General features: G+C 54.3%; 1 protein-coding gene across 13 annotated transcripts, besides 4 other annotated features; it reads left to right on the forward strand.

Annotated features, from left to right (window-relative positions):
* On the forward strand, positions 375-16,831 carry WNK4 (WNK lysine deficient protein kinase 4). 13 transcript variants are annotated; one of them, NM_032387.5, is made up of 19 exons: positions 375-1,081; positions 2,523-2,695; positions 3,702-3,922; positions 4,187-4,344; positions 4,862-4,950; positions 5,031-5,247; positions 7,043-7,307; positions 7,543-7,664; positions 7,895-7,953; positions 8,055-8,172; positions 8,446-8,562; positions 13,357-13,494; positions 14,379-14,433; positions 14,537-15,147; positions 15,226-15,286; positions 15,390-15,798; positions 15,888-16,087; positions 16,246-16,343; positions 16,451-16,831. In NM_032387.5, exons 1-19 carry the CDS (start codon positions 464-466, stop codon positions 16,451-16,453), a joined length of 3,732 nt encoding a protein of 1,243 aa, NP_115763.2. In that variant the 5' UTR covers positions 375-463; the 3' UTR covers positions 16,454-16,831. The 13 variants fall into 13 exon arrangements, with proteins under 13 accessions (NP_115763.2, XP_047292515.1, XP_047292514.1 ...); XM_047436559.1 differs by having other exon boundaries at positions 16,246-16,301; XM_047436558.1 differs by having other exon boundaries at positions 14,540-15,147.
* Positions 448-1,405: an enhancer, noted in NCBI's record as "H3K4me1 hESC enhancer chr17:40932701-40933658 (GRCh37/hg19 assembly coordinates)". NCBI's record gives its function as "activates a minimal SCP1, AML or CMV promoter by ChIP-STARR-seq in naive H9 embryonic stem cells {active_cell/tissue: H9 hESC(naive)}" and the evidence as "EXISTENCE:reporter gene assay evidence [ECO:0000049][PMID:30033119]".
* Positions 2,695-3,894: an enhancer, noted in NCBI's record as "CDK7 strongly-dependent group 2 enhancer chr17:40934948-40936147 (GRCh37/hg19 assembly coordinates)". NCBI's record gives its function as "activates an origin of replication core promoter dependent on BRD2, BRD4, P300/CBP, MED14 and CDK7 cofactors, with strong dependence on CDK7, by STARR-seq in HCT116 cells {active_cell/tissue: HCT116}" and the evidence as "EXISTENCE:reporter gene assay evidence [ECO:0000049][PMID:35650434]".
* Positions 2,695-4,431: a biological region, named in NCBI's record as "CDK7 strongly-dependent group 2 enhancer GRCh37_chr17:40934948-40936147".
* Positions 3,800-4,431: an enhancer, noted in NCBI's record as "H3K4me1 hESC enhancer chr17:40936053-40936684 (GRCh37/hg19 assembly coordinates)". NCBI's record gives its function as "activates a minimal SCP1, AML or CMV promoter by ChIP-STARR-seq in naive H9 embryonic stem cells {active_cell/tissue: H9 hESC(naive)}" and the evidence as "EXISTENCE:reporter gene assay evidence [ECO:0000049][PMID:30033119]".

Consider the following 17,245-nt stretch of genomic DNA (forward strand, 5'->3'; position numbering starts at 1 on the left):
GGAGGGGGTGGTGCTGCCTTATCTGGGGTGTGCAGGAGGGTGGTAGCCTCCCCCTAAGTAATCCCCCACTAGGGTCCGGGTGTCGTTCTCTCCTGCCCTCCTCCGCGCACAAACAGGTTTGCTCACTCTTAGTGCGGGAGGATGCTCCGCGGTCTCCCACTCAGTTCTGGCCTCAGAGTGAGACTGCGGCCGGGGGCTCGGGAAAGAAGGGGACGCGGCTGGGCGGGGCGGTGACTAAGGTGAGGGGCTGCTCGCGGGATCCGCACCGCGGGAGCAGCTCGGAGGGGCGGCCCTGGGGGGCAAGGGCGGGCCGCGGGGCGGCGACGGGGGCGGGGCCAGGCCGAGCTGGGGGCTGGGGCCGCAGCCGCTCAGCCGGAGCGCAGCGCACCCAGCGAGTCCGTCTGTCAGGCCGCCTCCTCTCCGGCCGTCTGATTTTCTACCCTTCGGCGCCCTGCTCTTCCTCATGTTGGCATCCCCGGCCACGGAGACCACCGTCCTCATGTCCCAGACTGAGGCCGACCTGGCCCTGCGGCCCCCGCCTCCTCTTGGCACCGCGGGGCAGCCCCGCCTCGGGCCCCCTCCTCGCCGAGCGCGCCGCTTCTCCGGGAAGGCTGAGCCCCGGCCGCGCTCTTCTCGTCTCAGCCGCCGTAGCTCAGTCGACTTGGGGCTGCTGAGCTCTTGGTCCCTGCCAGCCTCACCCGCTCCGGACCCCCCCGATCCTCCGGACTCCGCTGGTCCTGGCCCCGCGAGGAGCCCACCGCCTAGCTCCAAAGAACCCCCCGAGGGCACGTGGACCGAGGGAGCCCCTGTGAAGGCTGCGGAAGACTCCGCGCGTCCCGAGCTCCCGGACTCTGCAGTGGGCCCGGGGTCCAGGGAGCCGCTAAGGGTCCCTGAAGCTGTGGCCCTAGAGCGGCGGCGGGAGCAGGAAGAAAAGGAGGACATGGAGACCCAGGCTGTGGCAACGTCCCCCGATGGCCGATACCTCAAGTTTGACATCGAGATTGGACGTGGCTCCTTCAAGACGGTGTATCGAGGGCTAGACACCGACACCACAGTGGAGGTGGCCTGGTGTGAGCTGCAGGTGCGGCTGGGAGCCCCCTCGGTGGCACCTTGGGATGGGACTCTGGAGGTCTTAGGATGACAGACAGAGGGTGGGGGAGACAGCATCAAGGGAAGCATGTATTTTTCCAGTCAAATGTCTATAGACACCTCTGCTGTCTTTGCCCTGAATGATCTGGCTGACTCTGGGCTGCAGAAGGAGAGATTGAGGCAGGTGGTGTCTGGTGACTCCCCCATGGGTATGAACATTCTCACTTTAAAGTCTCCATACTCAACCCTGAGAGGTGGAAAATAGGATGGGAAGTTAGGCAGGGGAGCCAGTTCAGGTCAGTTTCCTGCTGGTGGGTACCCGCAATCCCTTCCTCTCCCCTAAGTCCTGAGATCCTCAGTTATGACCCTGGTCCTCTTGATCCCCTCACTCCTCCCGTCCCCCACCTATTTGCAGACCAGGAGGCTGGGATGCGGGAAGCCAGGAGCTGGGCAAGGGTCATCTCCAACTCCAGAAGATTTAGGGCAGTTGTGGCAGAATAGGGCCCCCTAACCCCTTCTGGAGCAGTCAGACTTCTGGACTTCTCCACAGCTGCGAGGAGGGGGACATAGGGAGCTCCAGCTCTCGAGTGAGTCCAGTTCTGCTCCTCATCCCACTGCCTACCTGTGCTCTCCCTTCCCAGACCTAAAGGCACTAAGCCCATGGGCTTTAGGGGGACCTTCCTCCCATTGCTCCCATGCTACATATGGGTTAGGAGAACCCAGTCAACTTGGGGCCTGAAGCTTCCGATTCAGATCAGGGGACAGAGCCTAGGGGAAGGGTCCCTCTCCAGCCCTGGCACAGGGCTCGCCCCTTGCGCCTGCCAGTGCCGCGCCCCAGGCTCTGGGCCAGGCCAGGAGAGGCAGCCAAATTGGGGGGTGAGGGGAGGGAGAGGAGCCGGGGCGGGACGACTATGGGGGTGGGCAGCCTCCTGGCGCCTAGTCCTGGATCTTTTCTTTCCTTCTCAGTACCTCCCTCCATATCCCTCCCGCCTTCCGTCTGGATCTAGCAGTTCTGTTTCTGGGGCCAACCCCCTTGCCGGCCCCAATTCCCTGCCCGCAGTATCCTGCTGCCCGCCTGCTGCCTGCTCACTGCCAGCCCCCGGGTGCCCCCTCCCGCCCCATGGCCGGCCTGGGCAGCCACAAAGGCACTATTGAGCTCAGGGCTCTGGGACCGGGCTGCATAAAGGTGCTTGTGTCCAGCAGGGGGTCTAGGGGGCTGCCCCAGGCCCAGGTTGGGTGTGTCCTTGGATCAGCTTACGTGCGGGACTGTTGGAGAGTTCAGGGTCTGCAGCCCACTGGGCAAGTAATCCCATTAACCCCACCCCATCTGTGGGCTCCAACCCTCACCTCTTCCCCCAACCCCACTCCAGGTGTCCCTCTTCCTTTCTGTGGGTGTCCTGGGCCTGACATGACACCCGTCCCCCATCCCACAGACTCGGAAACTGTCTAGAGCTGAGCGGCAGCGCTTCTCAGAGGAGGTGGAGATGCTCAAGGGGCTGCAGCACCCCAACATCGTCCGCTTCTATGATTCGTGGAAGTCGGTGCTGAGGGGCCAGGTTTGCATCGTGCTGGTCACCGAACTCATGACCTCGGGCACGCTCAAGACGTGAGCTCTGCGCATGAGTGGGTGGGGAGAGGGAGGCTGGGATGTGTGCCCACTGCTTCCTGAACTCCCAGGCTCCTCAAACTCTCTAATATCCAGGTGTAAAACCAGGTTCACCATCTCCCTCTCACCCAACCTTTGTCCCTGCCTCGGTGAGTGGCAATGTCCACCCAGCACTCCAGTAAAATACTTGGGTGTCTCCCCAGACTCCTCTTTCTCCACTCTGCCCCCTCATCAGTCTGTCCCCAAGTCTTTCCTTAACCTCTCCCCACCTGGCTTTCACTGCTTCATCCATGCCACCACCTCAATGCCATCTCGCTGATCTGGAGCCCTGCAGCAGCCTCCTAAAGGGCCTTCCCAAACTCTGCCACCCTCTAAGCGATCCTATCTTCCTGCAGCCTGGAGAATCTTTCCCAGTTGAAAATCTGAACTGTCACTCCCCTCCTTAAAACCCCTTCAAAGTTTCTCATGGCCTTGGAATAAAGCCCACACAGGCTCACCTGTTCACAAAGTCCTTAGGATACAGCCTCACTTTCAGCCTAAGCTCCAGACACACCAAATTCCTGGCACCTCCTCCCACCCTGCCTTGTCACTGGCTTTTTCTGTGCCTTTGAGCACGGTGTCCTGTCTGCCTGGGAAGTCTCCATCCCTTCCCCCTTTCACCTTTGAGCTCCTACTCATCATTCAAGATGCAACACAAAAGTATTTCCTCTCCGAAGCTCTCCCTCATGCTTGGGGCAGTTAGTCATCCCTTCCTGCGCTCCCACAGCACCTTGGCCGAGGCCCTATCTATCAATTTACTTCCCAACCCGTTTGGTAACGTCATGTCTATCCACCATGCCCCCTGACTCAGTTTCTCCCTGGGGCCGGGCAGACATAGGCTAGGAGAATGCTGGCAGAAGATGCGGAGGCGGCAGCAGGGTGCGGCAGGGGGGAACTTCCCAGTGGGGGGCTCCTTCCCGGAGGACGTGTCCCCCCACCAGGACTCTGGCTATGCGCCCTCCCCCAGGTACCTGAGGCGGTTCCGGGAGATGAAGCCGCGGGTCCTTCAGCGCTGGAGCCGCCAAATCCTGCGGGGACTTCATTTCCTACACTCCCGGGTTCCTCCCATCCTGCACCGGGATCTCAAGTGCGACAATGTCTTTATCACGGGACCTACTGGCTCTGTCAAAATCGGGGACCTGGGCCTGGCCACGCTCAAGCGCGCCTCCTTTGCCAAGAGTGTCATCGGTGCGTCTCTCCAGGAGGGTCCATGCCATTCCTTCCTCCCCCACCTCAGAAGAGAACCTGGGGACTCCCTCCCCTCAGCAAGGGCCTTCAAGGTCCACAAAACTACCAGACGACAGGGAAGCTGAGGAGACCTATGGCACCCACCTCAACCCCACTGTGGGCCGGGGTCACTTGCACTCGCAGGGTTGCCTGGGGCTGCCTAGCCCAGTGGGAAGGACGAGGCCAGAGTGCCCAGCAATCTGATCCCTGCTGTGGACCCTACAGGGACCCCGGAATTCATGGCCCCCGAGATGTACGAGGAAAAGTACGATGAGGCCGTGGACGTGTACGCGTTCGGCATGTGCATGCTGGAGATGGCCACCTCTGAGTACCCGTACTCCGAGTGCCAGAATGCCGCGCAAATCTACCGCAAGGTCACTTCGGTGAGAGGGATGGGGCTGGCGGGAAAGGCAATTCCAGGGCCACTTCCCCTTTTCCTGCGCCGGCCAGCCCGCAGTCAATGCCCTTTGCCTGCACGAAAACAGGCTAGACACAGAGTCGCCTTGGTGAACACAGAAGGATATTGAGTGCACACGCGCCCCCACCAGTACACGCTATTTAGAATAATAATATGTGTGGTGCTCCCAAGAGTTCACAAATGATTTCGCATCCCATCTCTCATCCAATCCTTCCAGCTGCCCTGTGAGGTGAGCGGGGCAAATGTTCCACCCTGCGATTTACAGATGAACAAACAGCGGGAGACTTGTTCAAGATCACACTGTAAATACTTGGGGGGGGGGCGGGGATTAGGATTTGAAATCACATCTTCCAGTAGCAGTCAGGCTTTTGCAACTGCACGCGCAGCTGCCTAAGGAGGGAGTGGAGTAAGGGGTGGGGGGTGGTGTCAAGCCGAGAGCTGGGGATCAGAGGACGGGAGGTGTCATGCAACCCCTTCCCCAGGGCAGAAAGCCGAACAGCTTCCACAAGGTGAAGATACCCGAGGTGAAGGAGATCATTGAAGGCTGCATCCGCACGGATAAGAACGAGAGGTGGGGGTGAAAGGGCAGAGCGTGGGTAGAATAGGGCCGCGGGCCGCGGCGGGCTCGGCTCACCCACGCGTCACCCTCAGGTTCACCATCCAGGACCTCCTGGCCCACGCCTTCTTCCGCGAGGAGCGCGGTGTGCACGTGGAACTAGCGGAGGAGGACGACGGCGAGAAGCCGGGCCTCAAGCTCTGGCTGCGCATGGAGGACGCGCGGCGCGGGGGGCGCCCACGGGACAACCAGGCCATCGAGTTCCTGTTCCAGCTGGGCCGGGACGCGGCCGAGGAGGTGGCACAGGAGATGGTGAGCGGAGGACAGACTGTGCTGCCACTGGACGTGTAAAGGACATTGACTCGAGGGGACAGTGCAACAGGGATGGGGCGCAGGAGGGGTGGCAGCGATGGGGGCGGGGCACCTCACCCCTCTCAAAATCTCCTGCAGCGTCTCCCTACCTCTCCAGCCCTAACTTACCCGCACGCACACCCAGTTTTCCTTTACAGAGGGAGCCCTGGGTCCTCCAGCGTCCCTGCTTTACCTCCAGCTGATCTGTTCTTCCTGGGATGCCCTTCTTGCCAATTCATCTTTTCCTTCTTTCCTCCCTCCCCATTTTTCTTTTTCTTTTTCTTCCAATATGATCAGAACCATCGATTTCGGGAAGCCGTCCCCTTTGGAGTCAAACTTAAATGCTTCTTTCCACTTCAGCATGTTCTCGGTTACAGCACTCCCCACTATCGGTCCTGTCTTAAACCTGAATAAGTTCCTATCTTTCTTCTCCACTAGACTATAAACTCCCTGAGGGCAGAGACTGTGTTTTATCGATTCTTCTATCCCTGGCAGTGCTTGGCACATAGTAAGAGCTCATTAATAGCCTACATCTGTACATGGCTTAAAGCACTTTCACATGCATTTGATCTTTGCTACCCATCCTGCATAGGGGGCAGTTTTATCTCAACTTGTTGATGAGGAAATGGAAATTCAGAGAGGTTGAATACCTTGTCCAGGGCCCCAAGTAAGTAAGTGGAAGAGCTGGATTGAAACTGAGGTGGTTCAGATTTTAAATCAGGTTACCCTTCCCCACCTCCTTTACTCATTCAGCAAAGCTTGCGGCTAAAAGGAATGAGGAGGTGATGAATGGAAGCTGGTAGAAGGGGAGAGGCATAAGATGCAAGGGCAGAAGCTTGGGGGCTGGCTTAGGAAGTCCTGAAGGGAGTATGGGATTCTTTTTTTGGGAGTAATGGAGTCTCACTCTGTCACCCAGGCTGGAGTGCAGTGGCGCTATCTCAGCTCATTGCAACCTCCGCCTCCTGGGTTCAAGCAATTCTCCTGCCTCCGCCTCCTGTGTAGCTGGGATTACAGGCAAAAGCCACAACGCCCAGCTAATTTTTGTATTTTTAGTAGGAACGGGGTTTCACCATGTTGGCCAGGCTGGTCTCGAACTCCTGACCTCAAGTGACCCACTAGTCTTGGCCTCCCAAATTGCTGGGATTACAGGTGTGAGCCACCGTGCCTGGCCGAGTATGGGATTCTTAATAGAGACATGACAGTTGCAAGGGTGGAGACCACCTACGGTAGGTCAAGAATCTGAGAATGTGTTAGAAATTTAGAGCAGGTCTCCATAGCACGGCCCAACCTGACCTGAGATCAAATCTTGATCCATTGCTGACAAGGGATTCTTGGCCTTGGCACTGTTGACATGTTTGTTTTAGGGACTGTCCTGTGCATTGTAGGATGTTGAGAAGAACCCCTGGCTTCCGCTCACTAGATTCAGTAGCACCTACCCTCCAGTTGTGGCAACTAAAAATGTCTCTAGATAGTGCCAAACATCTCTTCTTCCCATTGGAAACCACTGACTTACTGTATAACTATGAACCAGCTACTTCATTAATCTCTAAAAATCGAATGGTAAGATTTATCCCACAAGGTTGTTTGGAGGATCTAGTGATGATAATGTAAGGAGCTGCCAGTTAACAGACATAGTGGGTAATCAGTAAGTGTTGGTTTTCTTCCTCCCATATCCTGGAGTTCCCAAGAAGGCGTCCTGATGGATCTTTGATAGGGGGTCCCAAGCTGTGTTCCTCATCCCCCACCCCAATTCCAGGTGGCTCTGGGCTTGGTCTGTGAAGCCGATTACCAGCCAGTGGCCCGTGCAGTACGTGAACGGGTTGCTGCCATCCAGCGAAAGCGTGAGAAGCTGCGTAAAGCAAGGGAATTGGAGGCACTCCCACCAGAGCCAGGACCTCCACCAGCAACTGTGCCCATGGCCCCCGGTCCCCCCAGTGTCTTCCCCCCTGAGCCTGAGGAGCCAGAGGCAGACCAGCACCAGCCCTTCCTTTTCCGCCACGCCAGCTACTCATCTACCACTTGTAAGTCACCCCTGATCTTGAGACGTAGGTCCCAGAACACCTTGGCCTCTGCCCCCTACCCAGAAGTTCACCCCCACAGCAGTCACTTACCCTGCCTTCCACCTCTAGCCATGAAGCTCCCTCCAGGAAGGAACTCTCCCACAGCTCCAGGCCCCTCCTTGCTTAGGCAGGCCCCATCCTCTGCCACTATTCCCTTTTATTTCCCCTTTTTTTGATCCTCTCCCTCCCCAACCAGCGGATTGCGAGACTGATGGCTACCTCAGCTCCTCCGGCTTCCTGGATGCCTCAGACCCTGCCCTTCAGCCCCCTGGGGGGGTGCCATCCAGCCTGGCTGAGTCCCATCTCTGCCTGCCCTCGGTGAGAGGGGGTCGCATGGGGGGCTCCCAGCCATTCCAAGCCTATGACCTATCTCCCTCCTTGTGAAACCCAATCTCATGATCCAGTCCCATGTCCCTGGAAATCCACCATTCTTGCCCTCCTCTTCCCTAATTCCATCTCCCTAATATCCTCCCAGCATCCTTGACACCATCTCCCTAGATCTCAACAGTTATCTTCCCCTGACCTCATGAACCCTTATCCTGTTTCAGGCTTTTGCCCTATCCATTCCACGTTCTGGCCCTGGAAGTGACTTTTCCCCCGGGGACAGGTATGTTCTGGTACAAGTTGGGGTGCCAGGGTGAGACACCTGGGGCACTGGGGTCCCAGTGTCTGCTCTGACAGTCATTCTCTCTCCTTTCTCTTTAACAGCTATGCCTCAGATGCAGCTTCAGGCCTTAGCGATGTGGGAGAAGGGATGGGACAAATGAGGAGACCCCCAGGGAGGAATCTCCGGCGCAGACCCCGATCCCGGCTGCGGGTCACTAGTGTAAGGATGGAGTACAGGAGATAGAGAGTAACCTACAGGGCCAGGAGGGAAGTGTCAGGGGGAGGCGGGGGAGGTCACCCAGAAAACGGGAGAAGCAGTGTATGACTAGTACTCAAGAGGCGGCCAGTCTGGTTTCTAATACCAGACTTTAGAGGTGGGGTCTACTTATCTCCAAGTCCATTGTGGCTGCTGTCACTTGGCTGGGGTAGGGTGGAGACACAGCATGATGAAGAGGGCTTGACCTTCTCCCCTCTGCTGACTTTGAATCTGAAGGTCTCAGACCAGAATGACAGAGTGGTTGAGTGCCAGCTACAGACCCATAACAGCAAGATGGTGACCTTCCGATTTGATCTGGATGGGGACAGCCCGGAAGAGATTGCAGCTGCCATGGTGAGGGGGAGAGAGATGAGGACAGAGTGTTTGGATCTGGAACAAGAGTCTCCTTCCTGATGTCCGCTGGGGCTGAAACCCACTGATCCGACAGCAAGCATTTTTAAATCTCTGGTTGACACTTAGCACAGTAACGCTGAAGATGTCTCAGCCCTTGTTTTGGGGGAGATTTCTGTTTATCCAGTGAGGTTTGGCTTCTCAGCTGGAGCAATTTGAGACTCACATTGACCGGGTACACACAAGTGCTACGTATAAGTGCCTGGTAGATGTGCAATACTGTGGCTGTAGGTGAAGGATGGACTGGGCAGCAGGGGCAATGAGCTTACCCAGGATCTTGGCAAATGGGCAAGAAAGGCTGTGAAGGGTGGAAAGGCCATGAAGGGTGTCCCTGTGCAGGGACAGCATAAGCAAAGGCATTCCAAGTAGAGAGTGTCTTGGAATATGGGGCTGGGAGGGCTTCATGAGGAAACCACTATCACTGGAAGTAAAGATTCCTATAGGAGAGTTGTGGGGAGTGAAGCCGGGTAGGTAGAGTGGGCCCAGATTGTAGAATAGACAATGTTAAGAGTTAGGCAGAGGCCAGGCGTGGTGGCTCACACCTGTAATCCCAGCACTTTGGGAGGCCGAGGCCGAGGCAGGCAGATCACCCGAGGTCAGGAGTTCAAGACCAGCTTGGCCAACATGGTGAAACCCCGTCTCTACTAAAAAATACAAAAATTAGCTGGGTGTGGTGGCGCATGCCTGTAGTCCCAGCTACTTGGGAGGCTGAGGCAGGAGAATTGCTTGAACCCGGGAGGCGGAGGTTGCAGTGAGCCGAGATCACACCATTGCACTCCAGCCTGGGCGACAAGAGTGAGATTCTGTCTAAAAATAAATAAATAAATAAATAAATAAATAAATAAATAAATAAATAGAGAGGCAGAGCAGGCTAGGTCCAGTGGCTCACACCTGTAATCCCAGCACTTTGGGTGGATGAAGTAGGAGGATTGCTTGAGCCCAGGGGTTCAAGACCACCCTGGTAATATAATGAGACCCTATCTCTACAAAAAATTTAAAAAATTAGCCGTGTGTGGCGGCACATGCCTGTCATCCCAACTACTTGGGAGGCTGAGGTGGGAGGATCACTTGAGCCTGGGAGGTCAAGGCTGCAGTGAGCTTTGATCACGCCACTGCACTCCAGCCTGGAAGACAGAGTGAACTTTGTCTCAAAAAAAAACAAAAACAAAAAAACAAAAAGGCACAGTGTAACGTGACAGTAGGCTTTATGAAAATCATCTGCCATGGGATGTGGAAGGGGGAAGGGAAAATACCTGGGAGGTAGACCCAGGAAGCCATCTGTGGACAAAGGAGAGAGTGGCTTATGGGAGGGAAGAGGAGAAAGGGTGAATCTGAGGGTTGTTTCGGGAAAATAAGTTACTCTGTAATCCAGTAACCTATTGACGTAGTAGAGAACATAGTACATAGTAGATGCTCAATAAATATTTGCTGAGTTGATATGATTGGGAGTTAGGGAGAAGGGATGTCAAGGACAACTTGTAGGCCACCAAAGGAGAGTAGGAGAGTAGGCCACCAAAGGAGAGAGGAAATTAGAAATGAAAGAAGGTTTTTTTTAAGGAGGTCATGATGAGCTTGAGTGAAGAAGGGACAGCCAAGACAAGACCCTCCATAGCCATGGATATGGGTCAGGCAGGGCTGGAGAGATGTGGATGGAGGAGTAGTCAGTACAGAGTTGAGAGTGAAGGGAGATGAGCCGGCAAAGCCAGAGACACAGAGGGTTGCAGAGTGTGTCTCAGCGCATACCACCAGTTCTGGAGTGGGAAGCGGGAGGGTAGGTCATCGAAGGACACAGAGACAAAGCCAGAGACGTAGGAGGATGTTAGTCAAAACTGAGTGAGGAGAGAGTTTCAAGGAGGTGGCATAGGATGAATCCTCAGGCAAGACCACACTGGCTTTTGTTAGGAGATCTTTGTGGGAGACCAGTTTCAGTGGAGTGGGGGTGGTGGATGCCAGCCCATGGGGTGAAGGAGGGAAAGGAATGGGAGAAACACCAGGCATCAGGAGCCCTCTCTAAAGCATCTCCTCCATCATGTCATTCACCTTGTGTCCAGGACAAAGACACAATATCACCTGGCACACAAGGCTCATCACCTTCCGTCAAACCACTTGACTCTTTCAGAGTCTTCCATCCAGCCACACTGGTTTCAAAATGGGCCTCTGAAAAGGCTGGGTGCCTTCCTGCCTCTGCCTCCACCTCCTTAAGGGTCTCTCACTCGTAGAGCCTTCTGTATTGGGCTTTCAAGTCCCCTCTGATCCTGCACAGCCAAAGTGACCCCACCCCATGCACCCAGAGTCCTTTGCCCTCTTTTCTCTCCTTACCCAGTCCACCCTCCACTCCTCTGCAGCAGAATTCTCCTGAGACTTGGATCTGATCTCTTGATATTCACCCGAAATTATTTAGTGGCTACTTGTGGTTGTAGAGTAAGGTCCAAATTCCAAAGCCTTTAAAATTCACAGCACATTCAGCTACACTTGAGTCCTCACTATTTTAAGAATAGGCTGTGCCGGGCATGGTGGCTCACGCCTGTAATCCCAGCACTTTGGGAGGCCGAGGCAGGCAGATGACCTGAGGTCGGGAGTTCAAGACCAGCCTGACCAACATGGAGAAACCCCGTCTCTACTAAAAAATACAAAATTAGCTGGGCGTGGTGGCGCATGCCTGTAATCCCAGCTACTTGGGAGGCTGAGGCAGGAGAATCACTTGAACCCAGGAGGTGGAGGTTGCGGTGAGCCACGGTCATACCATTGCACTCCAGCCTGGGCAACAAGAGCGAAACTCTGTCTCAAAAAAAAAAAAAGAAGAAAGAAAGAAAGATTGAATAGGCCGGGCGCAGTGGCTCACACTTGTAATCCCAGCACTTTTGGGAGGCTGAGGCAGGTAGATCACTTGAGGTCAGGAGTTCGAGACCAGCCTGGCCAACATGAAGCCCTGTCTCTACTAAAAATATAAAAATTAGCTGGGCATGGTGCCAGGCAGTCCCAGCTACTCAAGAGGCTGATGCAGGAGAATCTCTTGAACCCAGAAGGTGAGGTTGCAGTGAGCCAAGATTGTGCCACTGCACTCCAGCCTGGGTGATAGAGCAAGGCTCAGTCTCAAAAAAAAAAAAAAATAATAATGTACCATGCCTTTCATGCTTCAAAGCTACTACACTGTTCTCTCTGCCTAGACTGCTCTTCTCTTCCTGATGAACAGCCTGGAATAGAGGAAGGGGTCGCTTTCATGTAATACCTAAGTTCAAACTTCAGCTCTGTTATTTACTAATCCAATGAACTTAGGCAAGTTTCTTAACTCTGTAAACTTCAGTTGCATGTAAGTAAAATGCAGATGATAGTATTTGTTTTGCAAAGATGTTCTGATACGACACAGTGTAATGTAGAAGTGTCCACACATGGTAGGTCCTCAATAGAGATTGCTTTTCTCATCTGTCAATGTTCAGCTCCAAAGACTTACTCTGTGAAACTGCTCCAGCTTCCCCCTATCCCCAGGGTGGTATTCTGTCTTTGGAATAGCATTTTAAAAAATTGTGATTAAAAAACCATAAATATAAAATTTACCACCGTAACCATTTTTAAGTGTACAGTTCAGCAATATTAAGTATATTCACATTGCTGTGAAACAGATCTCCAGGGGTTTTCTTACCTTGCAAATCTGAAACTCTGTACCCATTAAACAACTCTGCCTCTCCACACCCCCATCCCCCCAACCCTGGAACAACATTTCTATCTATATCTCACTTGTAAGTGCCTTACGTATTACGGGCTGCCTTGCAGTAAGTTTAATTACGTATTTATGTGTCTCCTCCACTAAGTTTTGGGCTTCGTTAAGCCTAGGACCTTGTTTCATGCTTCCTTGTATTCCCACAGTACCCAGCACAATGCCAGCACATAGTAGGTGCTCAATAAGTATTCATGGATTTGAATGTGACATTTGCCATTTATTGCCTTATTCTGACTTAACCGTGTGGGATGGGTGTATGTGGGCCTGTGTGTTATACTTTATAAACACTATGGGGCAGAAATTGTGTCCAAAACATGGGAGGCAGCAGTGAAGATAACTCAGGCTCTGGCTTTAGGTAGATGTGGGTTTAAATCCTGTGACCTTAGGCAGACGGAACTTAACCTCTTTGAGCATTGGTTATCTTAATTCTACCATAGCAATATTAATGTGGGCCCCAGAAAGTTACTGGTGGTGTTAAATGTGATAATATACGCAAAGCAGCTGGTATATATACGCATCCTATGAATGTTAGCACCTTTCCTTCTAGGCTGTATTTCTCCTTACACCACACAGTGCCTGGAACACAATAGGTATTTACTTGTTTTAGGTTGGTGGTTGGCAGGAGCAGTAGTGTGAAGGGTGGATTTTTTATTTTTATTTTTTTGAGACGGAGTCTCGCTCAGTCGTCCAGGCTGGAGTGCGGTGGTGTGATCTTGGCTCCACCGTTTCCCAGGTTCAAGTGATTCTCCCGTCTTAGCCTCCCAAGTAGCTGGGATTACAGGTGCCCGCCATCATGCCCAGCTAATTTTTGTATTTTAGTAGAGATAGGGTATCACCATGTTGGCCAGGCTGGTCTTAAACTCCTGACTTCAGGTGATCCGCCCGCCTCGGCCTCCCAAAGTGCTAGGATTACAGGCGTGAGCCACCGCGCCCAGCCTGATGTTTTAAGATCAGAAGCAGGGGGAGAGGGATGAGTGAGATAACAAGCTCTCCCTCCCCATCCTGTTGACCCTCGCAAGGTATATAACGAGTTCATTCTGCCTTCGGAGCGAGATGGATTTCTCAGACGGATTCGGGAGATTATCCAGCGAGTGGAGACCCTGTTGAAGAGAGACACTGGCCCCATGGAGGCTGCTGAAGACACCCTAAGCCCCCAGGTCAGACCCCTTGGTGGACACTTCCAGGGGAAATGGACTCTCTGCTCCAGGGTTTATTACTCTCTGCCCTCAGCGGTCCCCTTGGATTTAACTCCTCTTCATCTCTGGGACCCTAAAACAGTGGCGCTTTTTTTTTTTTTTGAGATGGAGTCTCACTCTGTCGCCCAGGCTGGAGTGCAGTGGCACGATCTCGGCTCACTGCAAGCTCCGCCTCCCGGGTTCACGCCATTCTCCTGTCCCAGCCTCCCGAGTAGCTGGGACTACAGGCGCTCGCCACCACACCCGGCTAATTTTTTTTGTATTTTTAGTAGAGACAGGGTTTCACCGTGTTAGCCAGGCTGGTCTCGATCTCCTGACCTCGTGATCCGCCCTCCTCGGCCTCCCAAAGTGCTGGGATTACAGGTGTGAGCCACCGTGCCTGGCCTAAAACAGTGGCTCTTAGCCCATTTGAGAATATGATGAAAGCCATGGACTCTTGTTCTAGAAAACTTGTTCAATACATACTTTTCTTTTAACTCATTATTTTGAAATAATTTCAGACTTGTGGAGAGAAGTTGCAAGAATTATATAAAGAACCACTGGATACCCTTTGCCCAGATTTGCCACTTGTTAGTGTTTTGCCACCTTAGCGTCATCATTGTCTCTTCCTCTCCCCTCTGTATGTGTGCATACATAATATATTTTTCGGAACCACTTAAGAGTAAGTTGCAGACATCATGCCCTTTTACCTCTATACATTTCAGCACATATGCTTCTGAATCCCTTGAAACTCATGTACAGACTCCTATAGGTTCATGGGTCCTAGCTTAGGAACCCCGGTCTGACACCTTCCATCTCAGACTGCTCTTCCCCACTGTGACTGCGGACTCCTTTTTCTGCCTCAGGAGGAGCCAGCACCATTACCTGCCCTGCCCGTCCCCCTCCCAGACCCATCCAATGGTATGTACTGAGTTGTGTCCTTGCTCATCCCAACCCCTGGGGTTGCTCCTGGGAAGGGCATAGGGCATGTGGGACTGTGGTCTCAACATACCCTCCTTCCCAGAAGAGCTCCAGAGCAGCACCTCCCTGGAGCACAGGAGCTGGACAGCCTTCTCCACCTCCTCATCTTCTCCTGGAACTCCTTTGTCTCCTGGAAACCCATTTTCCCCTGGAACCCCCATTTCCCCAGGTCCCATCTTCCCCATCACTTCTCCCCCATGTCATCCCAGCCCCTCCCCATTCTCCCCCATTTCTTCCCAGGTCTCCTCAAATCCCTCTCCACACCCCACCAGCTCTCCACTTCCATTCTCCTCCAGCACACCCGAGTTTCCGGTCCCACTCTCTCAGTGTCCCTGGAGTTCTCTCCCCACGACTTCTCCACCTACGTTCTCTCCCACTTGTTCTCAGGTCACTCTTAGTTCCCCTTTCTTTCCTCCGTGCCCCTCCACTTCTTCCTTCCCCTCCACCACAGCAGCCCCTCTCCTTTCTCTGGCTAGTGCCTTCTCACTGGCTGTGATGACTGTGGCCCAGTCCCTGCTGTCCCCCTCACCTGGGCTCCTTTCCCAGTCTCCTCCAGCCCCTCCTAGTCCCCTCCCTAGCCTGCCCCTTCCCCCTCCCGTTGCTCCTGGTGGCCAGGAAAGCCCTTCACCCCACACAGCTGAGGTGGAGAGTGAGGTGAGTAGAAAACCAAGAGGGATGATTAGGGAGACTCCACTCTGCACTCTTCCCTTCTCATGGCCCCCCACTTTCTAGGCCTCACCACCTCCTGCTCGGCCCCTCCCAGGGGAAGCCAGGCTGGCGCCCATCTCTGAAGGTAAGGCCTCTGACCACTGACCTTCCCCTGCCATTATCCCTACTCACTGTCTGTCCTGTCACTGCTCTCCTTTCCTCATGCCTTCTTCCTCGTCGCCCTACAGAGGGAAAGCCGCAGCTTGTTGGGCGTTTCCAAGTGACTTCATCCAAGGAACCGGCTGAGCCTCTTCCCTTGCAGCCAACATCCCCCACTCTCTCTGGTTCTCCAAAACCTTCAACCCCTCAGCTCACTTCAGAGAGCTCAGATACAGAGGACAGTGCTGGAGGCGGGCCAGAGACCAGGGAAGCTCTGGCTGAGAGCGACCGTGCAGCTGAGGGTCTGGGGGCTGGAGTTGAGGAGGAAGGAGATGATGGGAAGGAACCCCAAGTTGGGGGCAGCCCCCAACCCCTGAGCCATCCCAGCCCAGTGTGGATGAACTACTCCTACAGCAGCCTGTGTTTGAGCAGCGAGGAGTCAGAAAGCAGTGGGGAAGATGAGGAGTTCTGGGCTGAGCTGCAGAGTCTTCGGCAGAAGTGAGTCTCGGGAGGATGGAGGAGTGAGAGGAGAACCTGGGAGAGCAAGGTGTGTGGCTAGCCCTTTCATGCCCTCCGTGCATCCTCAGGCACTTGTCAGAGGTGGAAACACTACAGACACTACAGAAAAAAGAAATTGAAGATTTGTACAGCCGGCTGGGGAAGCAGCCCCCACCGGGTATTGTGGCCCCAGCTGCTATGCTGTCCAGCCGCCAGCGCCGCCTCTCCAAGGGCAGCTTCCCCACCTCCCGCCGCAACAGCCTACAGCGCTCTGAGCCCCCAGGCCCTGGTGAGACTGCAGTCACCCAGCTTCCATCTTTTCCCTGAGACCCCTTTCTGTCGACTGTTTTTCTCCAGGCCCTGGGGGTCTGCCCCGGGGGAATAGACCCCCTCTCCCCACCTCCCCTTTCCTCACTTAGTGCTCTCCTTCCCCCATCCTGCTCCCAGGCATCATGCGAAGGAACTCTCTGAGTGGCAGCAGCACCGGCTCCCAGGAGCAGCGGGCAAGCAAGGGGGTGACATTCGCCGGGGATGTTGGCAGGATGGTGAGGGCGGGCCCAAGGGAGGGAGAGCCCAGGGAATGGTACCTGGCTGCAGCTTCGCCTTCCTCCCACCTTGGAGGTTTCTTCATCACTTTTTCTTTTCCCTCCAGTGAATTCAGAACAGAAGCCATGTATCTCCCCCACACCAGGGCCCACCATGGAGCTTGTGTTCTCAGAATCTGATGCTTTCTGATCAACAAAACTGAGCAAGGAAGATCCCAACACTGAAGGGGTAGAAGGCCAGGGGGGCATGGAGAGTGCAGCTCCATTATAGTGAAGAGCCAAACATATGTGAACTGTTTGCTGTGTGGAGGTGTTAGTTCTGCTGCCTACCATCTTCATCTCTAGCACCTCCCCTGCCAAGAGTCAACCACTAAGCAATCCCACCCAAGCCTGGATGCTTCTAGAGGGGCCCACTCCCAGCTGGGAGAGTGTAGGGGATATGCTCACACCACATTAGCAGCAACCAATAAAAATGCTGGAAACAAGAACGCCGTGAATCCATATGCCATGCCTTAGGAATTGGGGGAGCAAAGACTTGTGGGGTGAGGCAGGGGAGGATTTAAAAGGGACTTTCTTTTCACAATGGGAGGCAGGGGTGGAAGCTGCCCAGCCCTCTGGCTTCCTGCCATCAGTTAATGAGGAAACTGCAAGGTCAGTGATCCACTTGACTAAGTTAGGATCCCCTCCAGACCCCACCCTAGACCTGTATAGGCAGGTACCAGGGAAAGTTAAAAGAATGAAGACTGCTTGTCTTTCACCCTTCATCCACCTCTCTCTCCCTCCCTCTCTCTGGGGATGGGAAAAGCAGTAGAGTTACAGTATGTTCTTGTGGGTAGAGGACAGAAGAGTGACCTTCCTTCCCCTAAGACGTGGGTTCAGTCTCAAACTGCCCAGTGATCTCT

Source organism: Homo sapiens, chromosome 17, assembly GCF_000001405.40.
Source record: "Homo sapiens chromosome 17, GRCh38.p14 Primary Assembly".
In the NCBI taxonomy this organism is placed as follows: Eukaryota; Metazoa; Chordata; class Mammalia; order Primates; family Hominidae; genus Homo; species Homo sapiens.

Bases quoted from the DNA above. Each gene is read 5' to 3' on its own strand.
- WNK4 (XM_017024962.2), top strand. From the start codon at position 464: ATGTTGGCATCCCCGGCCACGGAGACCACCGTCCTCATGTCCCAGACT. The intron at 7,954-8,054 runs GTATGTTCTGGT...TCTCTTTAACAG, and splicing joins GACTTTTCCCCCGGGGACAG to CTATGCCTCAGATGCAGCTT. The intron at 8,563-13,356 runs GTGAGGGGGAGA...GACCCTCGCAAG, and splicing joins AAGAGATTGCAGCTGCCATG to GTATATAACGAGTTCATTCT.